At 40.6% G+C, this 15408-nt stretch overlaps 1 protein-coding gene across 7 annotated transcripts in view; it reads right to left on the minus strand.

Annotated features, from left to right (window-relative positions):
* The window catches only part of UPF3B (UPF3B regulator of nonsense mediated mRNA decay), a 47653-nt gene that overhangs the window by 27099 nt on the left and 5146 nt on the right, over nucleotides 1-15408 (minus strand). For 4 of the 7 annotated variants that reach the window (XM_017029738.2, XM_047442375.1, XM_017029740.2 and 1 more), the window contains exons 4-11: nucleotides 12789-12887; nucleotides 10782-10892; nucleotides 9326-9369; nucleotides 8667-8849; nucleotides 8237-8275; nucleotides 5958-6118; nucleotides 5348-5642; nucleotides 2511-2618 (exon numbers count right to left, since the gene is read on the minus strand). In XM_017029738.2, the coding sequence (XP_016885227.1) occupies nucleotides 2511-2618; nucleotides 5348-5642; nucleotides 5958-6118; nucleotides 8237-8275; nucleotides 8667-8849; nucleotides 9326-9369; nucleotides 10782-10892; nucleotides 12789-12887 (1040 nt within the window). Of the gene's footprint in view, nucleotides 1-1612; nucleotides 2619-5347; nucleotides 5643-5957; nucleotides 6119-8236; nucleotides 8276-8666; nucleotides 8850-9325; nucleotides 9370-10781; nucleotides 10893-12788; nucleotides 12888-15408 lie in introns of those variants that run through there. The other 3 variants (NM_080632.3, XM_017029739.2, NM_023010.4) reach the window with 3 other exon arrangements.

A 15408-nucleotide genomic window follows, 5' to 3' on the forward strand; every position in this document is an offset into this window, starting at 1 on the left:
CACCACACTCGGATAATTTTTGTATTTTTAGTAGAGACGGGTTTTTGCCATGTTGGCCAGGCTGGTCTTAAACTCCTGACCCCATGTGATCCACCCACCGTGGCTTCCGTGGCTTTCCTAAGTGCTGGGATTACAGGCATGAGCCACCATGCCTGGCCTTTTGTGAGATTTCTAAGGATGACTAATCCTATGTATATAGCTGTCAGCATACACTTTCCAAGAATTTACCAAGTGTAATCTTGGCTACCTTGAATAATGATATAATTGGTTTAATAAATTTTTGTAGTATAAAGGACAGCCCAGAGACAGTAAAGAAAAATCTAGGCAGCCTGACCCCACCCTGCCATCAAAAACATGTAACATACAGGACTCTTTATACCAACAAAAGGTTACAAAACCTCCTTAACCTTTCCTCTATGGAATTAAAGATAACATCTGTGAATACCATAGAAAGTTACATCTTAATTTTATAATCAAAGCTTCATTACTGTCTCCGGACTACCTAACGTATGCATGCTGTGGAGGGTGGTCCAGTTCCAGTTCCTCCAGATTTTGAAGGCATTAAAGCTTCATGAATGCCCAAGTCATCCTTTTTCACTTCCCTGGAACTAGCTACCCCCCACTGCCCTCACCCTTTCAATTTTTCCTGCCTCCTTCCCCTAGCATCACTTCTCTCCACCAGAGCAGCTAACTCCCCATGGCTGTAAGCATCATGAGAAAGCAACCACGTTGTGTTCACTACCATAGTGTCAGTGCCAACACATACTAGGAGGTGCTCAAATATTGTTTAGACAGCCAAGGTCTGAGTTGTCTCCATACTACCTTTATTTCCAAAGAAATCAAACATGTATCTGAACAAAAGGAGGCAGAAATTGATCAAACACTTGCTTTCCTATTGTTTCTAACAGTTTATATTTATTTTTAAATTATTATTTTTTTAAATTTTTTGAGGCACGGTCTCACTTTGTAACCAAGGCTGGAGTGCAGTGGTGTGATCATGGCTCACTGTAGCCTTGACTTCCCAGACTGAAGTGATCCTCCAGTCTCAGCCTCCTGAGTAGCTGGGGCTACAGGTGCACACCACTATGCCCAGCTAATTTTTAAAAATTATTTTAGAGATGGGGTCTTGCTCTGTTGCCCTGGCTGGAGTGCAGAGGCACAATCTTGACTCACTGCAATCTCCACCTCCCAGGCTCAAGCAATTCTCGTGCCTCAGCCTCCCGAGTAGCTGGGATTACAGATGCCCACCACCACGCCCAGATAATTTTGTATTTTTAGTAGAGATGGGGTTTCACCATGTTGGCCAGGGTGGTCTTGAACTCCTGACCTCAAGTGATCCGCCCACCTTGGCCTCCCAAAATGCTGTGATTACAGGCGTGAGCCACTGCATCCAGCCTATTTTATGTTTAAATTAATAGACTTTTATTTGTTTTATTTAGAACCAGCTCTTACTTTTGTTTACAGTTTTGGGTGAGATGCCTGCTTCTACTTCACCTTCTGCCATGAGTTAAAGCTCCCTTAGGCTTCACTAGAAGGTGAGTGATGTCAGATGTCAAAAATTTAATTTCTCAAAACTCATAGCTATTTAGTAAAGTTAATAAACACACTTAGCTTCACACTTGAATGCTGTTACTATTTATTGACATCAAAACGAAACAAGCTGAGACTAAAAGTTGCTATTTAACAGGAATAGACACTGGTGCAGTTTCCTTCCTGGAGAGGGTATGCACTCAGATCATGAGACCTAAGATCAAACACACTGGATTGTCAAGAGTCAAACAAGGACTACATTTTACCTCTTAATAGAAAAGATGCTGATGACAAAACACGAAGTTTAAAAATATTCTTTACGCTAAGCTCATATAAGCAAACAAAAAACTAAAACTAATCCTAAAACTTTAGGACACTGGATACAGAAGTAACATAACTATTTAAATTTTTGTATCAACGAAAGTGTGTTCTATCCTTCACTGTACCTGTACTACAAGGACATGCTTGTTGCTTCTACACTACCCAATGTCAACACTTATCATCAACAATACAATAGAATTAGATCGGAACAAGGCTTCAAAGCGACTCTGCTCCACCCAAATTCAGAAAATTCAATTCAGGATGAACAACAGCTTTTGATTTTAGAACCAGCTCTTACTTTTCTCTCGTGTCATATGTGATGAAGTCCTCACTTGACAATTCCCCCTGCAAATTGCAATGCATGTCCTTGCCGTCACCTTTTTCTGACACTTTAAAATTAATTTGTAGAAATTGCAAAAGCAATGAAATTGTACTTCCAATTCTGAACCTCTGATCAGATTCCTGCTTTGACACAAGACTTACTCCTCTGCAGTGTACCCCACCAGCACAGCGGCTCCCTTTCTCTCTATTCTTTGCCCTGAAGGCACCTCTGGATTGCTTAACGTGTGCTCTTTGGCTGCCTAGACAGTCAGGACACCTAAGGCCATCTGGACTTATCACTCCTCTCCTCCTTCTTTTCTATGGCTAATACCACTTTCCTGCTTCCTTTCTGCTGCTGAATCTCCAGACTTGGTGCTGTCATCAGGGGGACAGAGTCGATTTCGGCTTCGAGCTCCTGGTTGGTAAAGCTGCATCGCTGGACGATCCTGAAGTACAATAAAATATGTTACCATTACAACAATGCTACTAAGCTTTTATATGGGATTTTTAAGAGTCATAGTTATGTATGAATATATGCTCAAGTGAAGTCATTTAAGACCAAAAATGTGAGGGCACGGTAAATGACAACTTGCCTACTTCCTCTCTCCATCTCCAAAGAAAAGCAACCATTTGGTAATTACTATTTTATATGCTTGGGTAAATTTTTTTTTGGAGATAGGGCCTCACCCTGTCACCCAGGCTGAAGAGCAAGTGGGATGATCAAGGCTTATTGCAGCCTCGACATTCCAGACTCAAACGATCCTCCCACCTCAGGTACCTAGTAACTGGGATTATAGGCACGCACTACCACACTGGGCTGTTTTTACATTGTTAGTACAAACAAGCTCTCCCTATGTTGCCCAGGCTGCTTTCCAACTCTTGGGCTTAAGTGATCCTCCTGACTTGGCCTCCCAAATTGTTGGGATTACAGGCATGAGCCATCATGCCAGGCCCTAAGTGCCAGTTTTAAAGGAAGCACAGAAGACAGAGGAACACGTTAAATAACAGCATGGGGATGTAATCTGCCAATTCAGAACAGGAAAAGCCCTACAAGACAAATTGGTTTCTGCAACAAATGGTAGGAAAACAAGAGAAGGGGAAATTGTTTAGATTAAAAGAAAACTTGGCTGGGTGCAGTGGCTCATACCTTTATTCCCAATACTTTGAGGGGATCGGCTGAGCTCAAAAGTTTGAGACCAGCCTGAGCAACATAGGGAGACCTCATCTCTACAAAAAAACTTAAAAATTAGCTGGGCATGGTGATGCATGCCTGTAGTCCCAGCTACTCTGGAGGCTGAGGTAGGGGGATGGCTTAAGCCCAGGAGGTCGAGGCTACAGTGAGCTGAGATTGTACCACGGCACTCCAGCCTGGGTGACATAGCAAGACTCTGTCTCAAAAAATAAACTAAAAACAAAAGAGAACTGAAGAAGACATTTCAAGGAAGCATAATTTGTGGAATTTGTTTAGGTCCTATTAAAAAAAAGACATTAGGCTGGGCACGGTGGCTCATGCCTGTAATCCCAGCACTTTGGGAGGCTGAGGCGGGAGGATCACCTGAGGTCAGGAGTTCGAGACCAGCCTGGCCAACATGGTGAAACCCTGTCTCTACTAAAAATACAAAAATTAGCCGGGCATGGTGGCTTGAGGCTGTAGTCTCAGCTATTCGGGAGGCTGAGGCAGGAGAATCACTTGAACCCGGGAGGTGGAGGTTGTGGTGAGCTGAGATCATGCCACTGCACTCCAGCCTAGATGACAGAGCGAGACTCCATCGCAAAAAATAAATAATTAATTAATTTTAAAAAGACATTAATGAAGCAATTGGGAACATATGAACACTGAATAGACAGGACGTTAAGGAATTATTGTTAGTTTTTTTTGGTGTGAAAATGCTACTAGGGTAATATTAATAGAGTATTTATCTCATATACTGAAGTATTTAAGGAAGAAATTATGTGCAGGGTTTGTTTGAAAATAATCTAGTAGGGGTAGGGATGAAGTAGAATAGAAAGAAGGTTGGCTATGAACTGCTGGGTGATGGGTACAGTACATGGAGTTCATCATACTATTCGATTTTTTTTTTTTTTTTGAGACAGAGTCTCGCTCTGTTGCCCGTGCTGGAGTGCAGTGACGCGATCTCGGCTCACTGCAAGCTCCGCCTCCCAGGTTCACGCCATTTTCCTGCCTCAGCCTCCCGAGTAGCTGGGACTACAGGCGCCCGCCACCACGCCTGGCTAATTTTTTGTATTTTTAGTAGAGATGGGGTTTCACCATGTTAGCCAGGATGGTCTTGATCTCCTGACCTCGTGATCCACCCGTCTTGGCCTCCCAAAGTGCTGGGATTACAGGCGTGAGCCACCGCGCCCGGCCAGTTTTTTTTTTGAGACTGAGTCTCGCTCTGTTGCCCAGGCTAGAATACAATGGCGTGATCTCGGCTCACCTCAACCTCCACCTCCCAGGTTCAAGTGATTCTTCTGCCTCAGCCTCCCGAGTAGCTGAGATTACAGGTGTGCGCCACCACATCCAGCCGATTTTTTGTATTTTTAGTAGAGACGGGGTTTCACCATGTTGGCCAGGCTGGTCTAGAACTCCTAGGCTCTAGCAATCCACCCACCTCAGCCTCCCAAAGTGCTAGGATTACAGGTGTGAGCCACTGCACCTGGCCCATCATACTATTCTCTATTCTACTTTTGTGTATGTTTACAATTTCTATAGTAAGTTAATAAAAGCCCAGCCAAGACTGAAATAAAAGTTGGTCAGGCGTGGTGGCTCACGCCTGTAATCCCAGCACTTTGGGAGGCTGAGGCAGGTGGATCACGAGGTCAGGAGATCAAGACCATCCTGGCTAACACGGTGAAACCCTGTCTCTACTAAAAATACAAAAAAATAAGTCAGGCGTGGTGGTGGGCGCCTGTAGTCCCAGCTACTTGGGAGGCTGAAGCAGAAGAATGGCGTGAACCCAGGAGGCGGAGCTTGCAGTGAGCCGAGATTGTGCCACTGCACTCCAGCCTGGGCAACATAGTCAGACTCTGTCTCAAAAAAAAAAAAAAAAAAAAGTTGCAGATGATTAAAGTTCCCCTTTAAAAATTCTATAATAACAGTGCCCTTTACACTTTCTTTACACTTGCAGGAAAAGGGAAAAAAACCCTCATAAACAAGTTTAATGACAAGCAGCACCTTGTTTCTTATTCGATCTCTCTTGACCACTTCTTCTTTCTTTTCAGTTTTTTCTGAGCTGCCTATTGATTCTGTACTTTCAGCCTTCTTTCCTTTATCCCGAAGTGTGTCTTTCTCTTTTTTCATTTCTTCTTCTTTTCTCTTAAAAGTCTTCTCTTTCTCATAGCGCTCCTTCTGCCTACGGCGCTCTTCTTCTTGCCGCTTCAGCCTCTCTCTTTCTCGAAGTATGCGCTCCTGATCTCGTTCATATTCCCGTTCCCTCTCCCTATAGTCTCTGCCGCTCTCATCTTCAGGTCTGCATGAAAAACAAATCTGAGACAGAACCCTGAAAGATCTTGTAATCACAAATGCAGGAACACTGTGATTCTGATTTGGCCCCTGCAATGAGGTTGCACTTTTAGAGCAGAGTGAAAAATACTAGTGTTTTAAGAAGGAACAAAACCCCAAAACCATTCACCCAGATTAAGATACAAGAATATTCTGAAACTGTTCCTCCTCATCCCCCTGCCCTGCATAAAACAGCTTATCTTAATTCAGGTACATGTCCAGGACATAGCAGCAAAACTAGCATGTATAAATCAAACATAACAAAGAGTCCTTGACTACTGACCTCTTTGGTTTTTCATCTTTAAGTTCGCTATCAGAACGCTTGGGCAATGTACAACTTTGCCCACTGGCTCTTTCATCACTGAGATTCTCTTTGTCCAATTTCTTGGCTTTTTCTCTTTTGTCCAATTCTTTTTCATCTCCTTTTTCTGGCTTCTTGAGCAGCTTTAAAGATAAAATGTTTATTTTTATTTTGAAGGCTGGGACACTATCTTCTATTAAAAACCCAGTATACCAAATATTTAAAATTTAGACTAGACAAAGCCCCCTATCTCTGCAGGTACACTTAATCTTTCAGGTGAACAACTAGTGCATAAGAGTAGTAATTTACTAAAAGGATGCTATTAATGTTAAAGTGTTATCCACTTGAACGAAGTGGTTTAATCACTTTGTGGCAATAGGATCAAGACTCCTTTGGCTTTTATTCTGAGGCAGGGTCTCACTACTCTGTTGCCCATGCTGGAGTGCAGTGGCATGAACATGGCTCACCGCAACCTTGACCTCCTGGGCTTAAGTGGTCCTCCTGCCTCAGCCTCTTGAGTAGCTAGGACAACAGATGCACACCACCACATATGGCTAATTTTTTAATTTTTTTGTAGAGACAAGGTCTCATCATGTCACCCAGGCTGTTCTCAAACTTCTGGGCTCACACCATCCTTCTGCCTCGGCCTCCCACAGTGCTGAGATTACAGGTGTGAGCCACTGTGCCCGGCTTCCTTTGGCTTTAAATGGGTCAACCTTTAAGTGAACCAATGCATACTTCAAAGTATGCTTCTGTAGCAAACCAGCATGTTGATATAACTTAATGGGAAACAGCCCACAAATTTTAAGTGATAGGCAGATCGTTTCTGTTGGGACTGTTTTTATGTAGTACTTGGAATGACAAATACCTTGGTCACCAAAGGAGAGATCCATTGCAGGAATAATTTTGCCTTGAGCCTGAGAATAACATACTTATGATGGTACAATTATCTTGCCATTAGAGATTAATAACAAGAATTATTTGGCATTTGATTTAAAAATCTAAAGGCCTTATACAACCAAATAGTGAAGTTCCATCTCTACTGAGTAGGAACTCTGTATTTAATGCCATATTTACGCATGTTCAAAAATGCCATTGTTTTTTACATTGCTGCTATGAATCTCTCGAGAATACCTCCAAGTGTCGGATAATCAGAGAGATTCTTAGGCAAAATAGAAGAATTTCAAGTCTCAGAGTGAAGGTATCACACAAGGTTCATCTCAGGGTGAAGGCATCATGTAAATTACTAAGCAAAAGGCAAAGCACCACAAGACATAAGCACAAAGCATTTTGGCACACAGACAGCCACTGCAAATGGTGAGTCCAAAATGGACACTGAGAAGGCACCAGTGTAAAATGAGGATACCATGTGCAGGTTTCATTGGAAGTGCTCTTATTTCTCCAATGAACATCCTTATTAGAAACCAAGGTGTTCATTACTCTAATAAGAACATTAATGAATGTCTCTAGCATGGCTGGCTCTACCTTCTGCCTTGCTGATTGTTAGGAATAGCAAGTCAAGTCACTTGTGGCATAGCAGACAGAGAGATTGCTGGAAAGAATTAAGATGAGAAACTCCATCCTCCCCCAAGCCCCTCATCATCAGTAATGAGCCCCGTAGAGACTTAGGGAACCCTTGCTACATAAACTGCTGAGTTTTCAGGAAATAAAATAAGGAGACCCTGCCACCCTCTCTGTGAGATTTTCTTTGACTTTATCTGAAGTGCTAGGTACTAGTACTTCCCCAGGAAATATGTTGAAACAAGGGCTGCCCAAGCCATGCCCTTAGAAGGGAAGTGGCAAGGTTGGGATCTTTCTGCAGGTTTTCTTCTTCCCAAATGCAATGCATGAATCCGAATCTGCTGCTCACAGATTCCCAGATATATGCAGGAAGATACTACGGGAGTCATGTGAGAGGGAAAGGCACATATTGCAGGGTATTTATCCCTAGTCCTCCCACAAGGCAGCCAGTTATGAGAAGCATATAAGAAGATGAGAAAGAACTATATAGGCATGGTTGTCCTCTGGCTGTAGGTCAATGAAGCTTCTGGGCACACAGCAGAGCATCAGGAAGTCACCTGGGCTTCCTTTTAAAGTAGAAATTTATAATAAAATAGCTCAGCTTTTAAGAAGACTCAAGTCAACCTGAAGGGGTTTTCAACAAGTAACACTACCACCACCACCACCAAAAGGACTTATTAGCTAAGACCTGTGTGTGTGACATGATACTAGATGCTCTGTATCATGTACTTGGTCCTTACATTTTTCTGATTCACAGCTTGTAACAGAAACCTGTGTACCTGAAGACAGTGGAAAACAAACAGATGAGGTAACTTCATGTATCAATTATGAAGAAAAAGCTGAAAAAAAACCATAAATCATGCCAGCCAGCCCTAAGCCCTCATTTACTATGAATTTAGAGGACAATAGTCTAAAAATCCAACATTTTCAATGACAAAAACAGCACAGATCTGCACTGAAGAAATAACATACTACTTTATCCTTTTAAATGATCTTAAATTTAAAAACTAATACTATTACAGGAAAGATTTTTATTGGATCACTTCCCCCCAAAAGAGAACAAAAACAAAACAAAAAATTCATTTACACCAACACAAGACGCATGCATATTTAAAGAAGTAGATACGTGCAATTTTTAGCAACATGCAGTCAGTTTCAACATTCTTATACCTTAATCTTTGGTTCATCCTTTAATTTGTCCCTTTCTGGAATTCTGTCTATCTTCTTTAGCTTTTCTATATCTTTCCTTTTTCGTTTCTCTTCTTCTTTCCATTTCCTCCTCTCTTCTTCTCTTTGTCTTTTTCTTTCTATTTCTCTCCTCCTCCTTTCTTCTCTCTTTTCTTCTCTCATTCTCTAGAAAGAAACATCAACACAAGCCTTCAAATAAAATAATCATCACCAAAACCCTAATAAATCCTGAAGTCATGGTAGGCCCCAACTGAATAATCTTTCCTTCCTACTTTCTACAAAGTGGCATTCTACCACCGTTATCCCCACTCCACCCAGAAAACGAAAGACAATGAAGACCAGAACCTGCTAATATTATTCTTCCACTGCTGCCTTACTATCTCTCCAGAGGCTTTCAGAATATCAAATGAGTGTCTCTGGGACAACCTAAGAACATTCCACGTTTGTAGAGTGAACTCCTGGTCCAACAACCAGAGTGAAGGAGCAGGCTAGAGAGTGAGACCAAGAAGGCAAATCCTTAAAGAGTAATGGTGGAAAAAGCAGCTATTTCTCCTCTAGAAACCCAATGCTCTTAAAATGTTTATAGAATGCAAAGCAAAGAAATTAAAGTATTGAGAGAACTATAAAGACAAAAGATTTACCTGCTTGTTTTTCAGGAAGCTCAAAAGTGGGGTTGTCTTTTTAGCTACATAAATGTAAACAGATTATTAATCATACTTATCAACCCCTAGAAACGATTCCATTTTCTGACATTCCCTGCCAACCACCCAAGGTGGGAAAACATGTACACCCCTTATGCAGAAAGATCACAATTGTAATATCAGAAAGAAGTTTTACAGCATTCGATTTCAACAATACGGGATTAAAATACCTTTTAAAAAGTAAAGAAATTCAAATTAAAACAACAAAATAATTTATTAAAAGAGTCATTCCCAACTGATGAGAATTAAGTACTTAGGACATTCTCTTGTTTTACTGATAGGAGTGTAAACTTGTTCAACTGGAAGAAGTTGGGGGGAAGGGGCTAAAAATATCTAATCCTTTTGACCCCATAATTCCACTTCTGGGAATTTATTCTAAGAAAGTTACCAGAAATAGGCTTGTACTATCCATCTATTAATAAAAGTCAAGTTTTGGAAGAATATTTTTCATTTTCAACATTCTGAATAAGCTATTGGCCTTACAGCCATCTTAAAACACATATTCCTGGCCGGGCACAGTGGCTCATGCCTGTAATCCCAGCACTTTCAGAGGCCAAGGCAGGCGGATCACTTGAGGTCAGGAGTTCGAGATCAGCCTGGCCAACATGGTGAAACCCCGGCTCTACTAAAAATACAAAATTGGCCGGGCGTGGTGGCGGACACCTGTACTTCCAGCTACTCGGGAGACTGCGGCAGAATCGCCTGAACCCAGGAGGCGGAAGTTGCAGTGAGCCGAGATTGCGACACTGCACTCCAGCCTGGGCGACAGAGCAAGACTCCATCTCTCACACACACACACACACACACACATACACACACACACACACACACACACAGAGAGAGAGCGAGCGAGCAAGCAAGCAAAAAAAACAAACAAACAAACAAAAAAACCCCACATATTCCTTAGGATAAATTCCTGAGTAGAAATCCTGGGTCAAAGATTATGCTCATGTTTAGAGCTACTGATACAGTAGTGACAGCCTATTACTGAGAACCAAGATCCAAGCTAGAATTCCTCAAGTAGTTTTCAATTTTGCAGTAACTAATTTCATTTTTTCGTATTTTCAAGTCAAAATTTTTTTAGGAATATGAACTTATTACTAGAAAATACCAATTGACCTTCAAAGGCTTACCACTGTCTAAACATTCCTTATCAGTCATCGAACTTTTTGTATTTATATTACATTTGTGTGAAACTAAATAGGTCAAAGAATTTTTCCCACTTTAATGGATTCTCATAATGCTGTGAGGCAGGTATTACCATCTGCAATTTACAGTAACAGTCTCAGAGAAACTAGTAACTTCCCTGAAGTCACACAGCTAGCAACTGATGGAGGTAGGAGACTTAGGTACTGTGATGAAAAGACTGTTGCCCTGATTCTTTTTGCCCACTTACCTATTAATTCTCTATTTTTTGCTTCTATTTCCTCTAGCAGTGTCTCTGGAGTAGATGTCATTTTCTCATTATCTGTGGCATAACTTTCCAAAAACTTTCTATATTCTGGATCTAAATAATCATTTGAGGAAACAGAAAATATAATAGACTTTAAACAAAAAAAGAAGACATTATCTACAATACTGATTTATCAAAGAAGATAATTTTTTACTTCGTGGAAGATTAAAAAAAACCAAACCATACCCACAAGGTAGACTATTTAGAGCTTAATTGGTCACTTGCTCTCAGGACTCCTATCACTGATACTCACTATAGGAATCTGGTATAACATGGGGTCAGGAAAAATGAGACGCCATGCATTATAACAGAACCACTAGGGGTATTACATAGTTTGCTTTTAAAAGTCACTGTCCTACTAAACTAAGTTAGGTGTTCCAAAAAGATAAATTAGAGAGAAGTCCTAGATGTGGCACTTGAGGTGATGGGAATTCCTGGAGTTCTCTCCTAGACCTCTAACATCAGAAAGGGTGACACATCTAAGCCATTATATTGCTTGTTTCTATGTGTCACTTGATCAAGTCTTCCAGATCTAAATCTGTAATAAAACCAGTATCACAGCTATGTGTTATTGAGTCCTTACCGTGTTTTCTTTATAAAATACCTGTAATAGTAACAAATGATGGAAATTAAACTAGATGATTCTAAAGTAACAATCTGATATAAAATATGGTCCTAGTCCTTATCCAACATAAAGAGTTGTGTAACAGCTATCTAACATAACATTACAGAGGTCTCAAAATCTGGAGCCAGTGTACCTTAAATGGCAATTATTTTGGTTTTTCAGTTCTTGTATTTCTTTCTTTCTTTCTTTTTTTTTGAGACGGAGTTTTGCTTTTGTTGTCCAGGCTGGAGTGCAATGGTGCGGTCTCAGCTCACTGCAACCTCCGCCTCCCGGGTTCAAGTGATTCTTCTGCCTCAGCTTCCCAAGCAGCTGGGATTACAGGTGCCCGCCACCATGCCTAGCTAATTTTTGTGTTTTTAGTAGAGATGGGGTGTCACCATGTTGGCCAGGCTGGTCTCGAACTCCTGACCTCAGCAACTCTGCCCGCCTTGGCCTCCCAAAGTGCTGGGATTATAGGAGTGAGCCACCGCGCCTGGCCTCAGTTCTTCTATTCCTGTTCAACCTAATACTATGTGTGTAGCTAATTGTATATCCAAAGACCAGAAAATAGGAGTGACAACTTCAGCTACTTTATACAAAGTTACCTGGGTATGGAAATTTTCCCATGACAGTTCAAACCTTCTTCTTTATAAATATAATGGAAACCAAAAGTCAAATAAATAATCATAAAAATGGTGAGGCCTCAAGAAGCACCTGTTAAACTTTGAAACCTGATTTTTTTCCACTATTTTCTTTTTCTTTTTTTTTTGAGATGGAGTTTCGCTCTTGTTGCCCAGGCTGGAGTGCAATGGTGTGATCTCAGCTCACTGCAACCTCCGCCTCCTGGGTTCAAGAGATTCTCCTGCCTCAGCCTCCCGAATAGCTGGGATTACAGGCATGCACCACCATACCCGGCTAATTTTATATTTTTAGTAGAGACAGGGTTTCTCCATGTTGGTCAGGCTGGTATCAAACTCCTGACCTCAGATGATCCGCCCGCCTTGGCCTCCCAAAGTACTGGGATTATAGGCGTGAGCCACCACGCCTGGCCTTTCCACTATCTTCTAATCAATAAACCTATGGTGATTTGTTACTCAATAGTCAACATTATATTGTTCAATGGTTGAAGAATGAAATGCCCTAGCCAAAGAGAGCAGAGATTCTGTGCAAGAAACTCTCTCTAGTCTAACAATTAAGCAAAGCTTCCATCGGCAAATAACATTTCTCACTTACTTTATTTTGTATATTTTCTAATTTAAAATTTTGGGGTCGAATTAACTCTCACAAAGATATTATTTTTAAAAACCCCACAGCAATAGCATTATATAATTAGAGCTATACTGTACCATCATCGATAGTCCCGACTTTGGTATCTCTTTTCTTAGTCTTCTTTTTTGCAGCTTTTTGAAAAGGTGCAAATTCTACTATAGCGGGATATTCCTGACCTGTTTAGAAAAAAAATACCACACTTGCTATAACAAAGAAAATGTCAAAAGTGGATATAAGGGAATCAACCCATTGCTTTCTATGACTCTTTTGATGGCAGTCATCTGAAGAGGGTCTCCCAAAGGCATAAAGCACACTGGCACAACCATAATCAACATACTACAAAAGGAGCCACAAATTCACACTGATAACATAGTGAAACAACACGGCATGAAAGTAAAATATTCATATAAATTCAACTTATAAAATGTGATATTTTAATGTGAAAAAGACCCTACAAACTATTTTTCATTTTAAAATGTTAGAAATCTCCAAAATAGGCAAATCTATAGAGACAGAACGTAGAGTAGTAGCTGCCTGGAGTTTGGGGTAGAAGTGGTGAGAAGAATGAGGAGTGACAACTAATGGGTGGGGTTTCTCTTAGGGGTGATGAACATGTTCTAAATTTAGATTGTGGTGATAGGCTCATAAGCCTATGAATATACTAAAATTCACTGAACTGTATACTTTAAAAGGGTGACTATTTCAGGCATGTGAATTATATCTCAATAAAGCTGTTATTTTTTAAAAGTGTAACTATTTGAGGTGATGTGTTATGTGAGGTGATGAATGTGTTAACTTGATTGTATATATTTCATAATGTATATATGTATACATTATGTATACATTTCATAATGTATATATGTATACAATATGTATACATTTCATAATGTATACATTTCATAATGTATACATATATAAAATTATCACGTTGGGCTGGGCACCGTGGCTTATGCCTATAATCCCAGCATTTTGGGAGGCCGAGATGAGAGGATCACCTGAGGTCAGAAGTTTGAGACCTGCCTGGCCAACATGGTGAAACACTGTCTCTACTAAAAATACAAAAATTAGCTGGGCGTGGTGGCACGTGCCTGCAATCCCAGCTACTCTGGAGGCTGAGGCATGAGAATCACTTGAACCCAGGAGGCAGAGATTGCAGTGAGCCGAGATCATGCCACTGCACTCCAGCCTGGGCGACAGAGTAAGACTCCGTCTCAAAAAAATAAATACATAAAAATAAAAATAAATAAAAATACAAAAATTAGCCAGGCGTGATAGTGCACGCCTGTAATCCCAGCTACTTGGGAGACTGAGGCAGGAGAATCACTTGAACCTGGGAGGCGGAGGTTGCAGTAAGCTGAGATTGTGCCACTGCACTCGAGCCTGGTAAAAAAAAAAAAAAAAAAAGAAAAAGAAAAAAGAAAAAACAATTATTACATAGTAAAATTTAAATATATATTATTTTATTTGTCAATTATAGCTCAATAAAGCTGGGGAAAAATCTGTTAACACTTAAAAAAAAATACACCAGGACACCAAAAGCACAGGCAACAAAAGTAAAAATACAGAGGGTAGATCTCATGTTAAGTGTTCTTACCACAATAAAACAAAAATATAAAGTATATCTCTTATTTAAAAAAAGTAAAAAATAGATAAATTGGACTACGTCAAAATTAGAAACTTCTATGCATCAAAAGACACAATCAACAGAGTGAAAAGGCAACCCATGGAATGGGAGAAATATTTGCAAATTATATTATCTGATAAGGGGTAATATCGAGAATATATAAAGAACTCCTATAACTCAACAACAAAAAACCAAATAACCCAATTTAAAAAATGGTCAAAAGACTTGAATAGACATTTCTTCAAAGATAATATACAAATGGCTAACAAGCATATGGAAATATGTTCCACATTACTAGTCATTAGGGAAATGCAAATCAAAACCACAATGAGGTATCATCTCACGCCTATTAGGAGGACTACTATCAAAAAGCAGAAAATAACAAGTGTTGGCAAAGATGTGGAGAAACTGGAACACTCATGTATTGGTGGGAATGTAAAATGATGCAGCTGCATGGAAAACAGTATGGCAGTTCCATAAAACATTAAAAATAGAATTATTGGGCCAGCCTGACTAACATGGTAAAACCCCATCTCTACTAAAAATACAAAAATTAGCTGGGTGTGGTGGTGGGCACCTGTAATCCCAGCTACTCAGGAGGCTGAGGCAGGAGAATTGCTTGAACCCAGGAGGTGGAGGTTGCAATGAGGGAAGATCGCGCCATTGTACTTACTCCAGCCTGGGCAATGAGGGCGAAATTCCATCTCAAAAAAACAAAACAAAACAAAAAAGAACTACCGGCGGGGCACAGTGGCTCACACCTGTAACCTCAGCACTTTGAGAGGCCGAGGTGGGCGCATCACTTGAGGTCAGGAGTTTGAGACCAGCCTGGCCAACATGGTGAAACTCCGTCTCTACCACAAACATAAAAAATTAGCAGGGTGTGGTGGCAGGTGTCTGTAATCCCAGATACTTGGGAGGCTGAGGCAGGAGAATTGCTTGCACCTGGGAGGTGGAGGTTGCAGTGAGCCAAGATCATGCCACTGCACTCCAGCCTGTGTGACAGAGACTCTGTCTCAAAATAAATAAATAATAAAATAAAAATAGAATTACCAAATGACTCCAGAAATTCC

Source organism: Homo sapiens, chromosome X, assembly GCF_000001405.40.
Source record: "Homo sapiens chromosome X, GRCh38.p14 Primary Assembly".
In the NCBI taxonomy this organism is placed as follows: domain Eukaryota; kingdom Metazoa; phylum Chordata; class Mammalia; order Primates; family Hominidae; genus Homo; species Homo sapiens.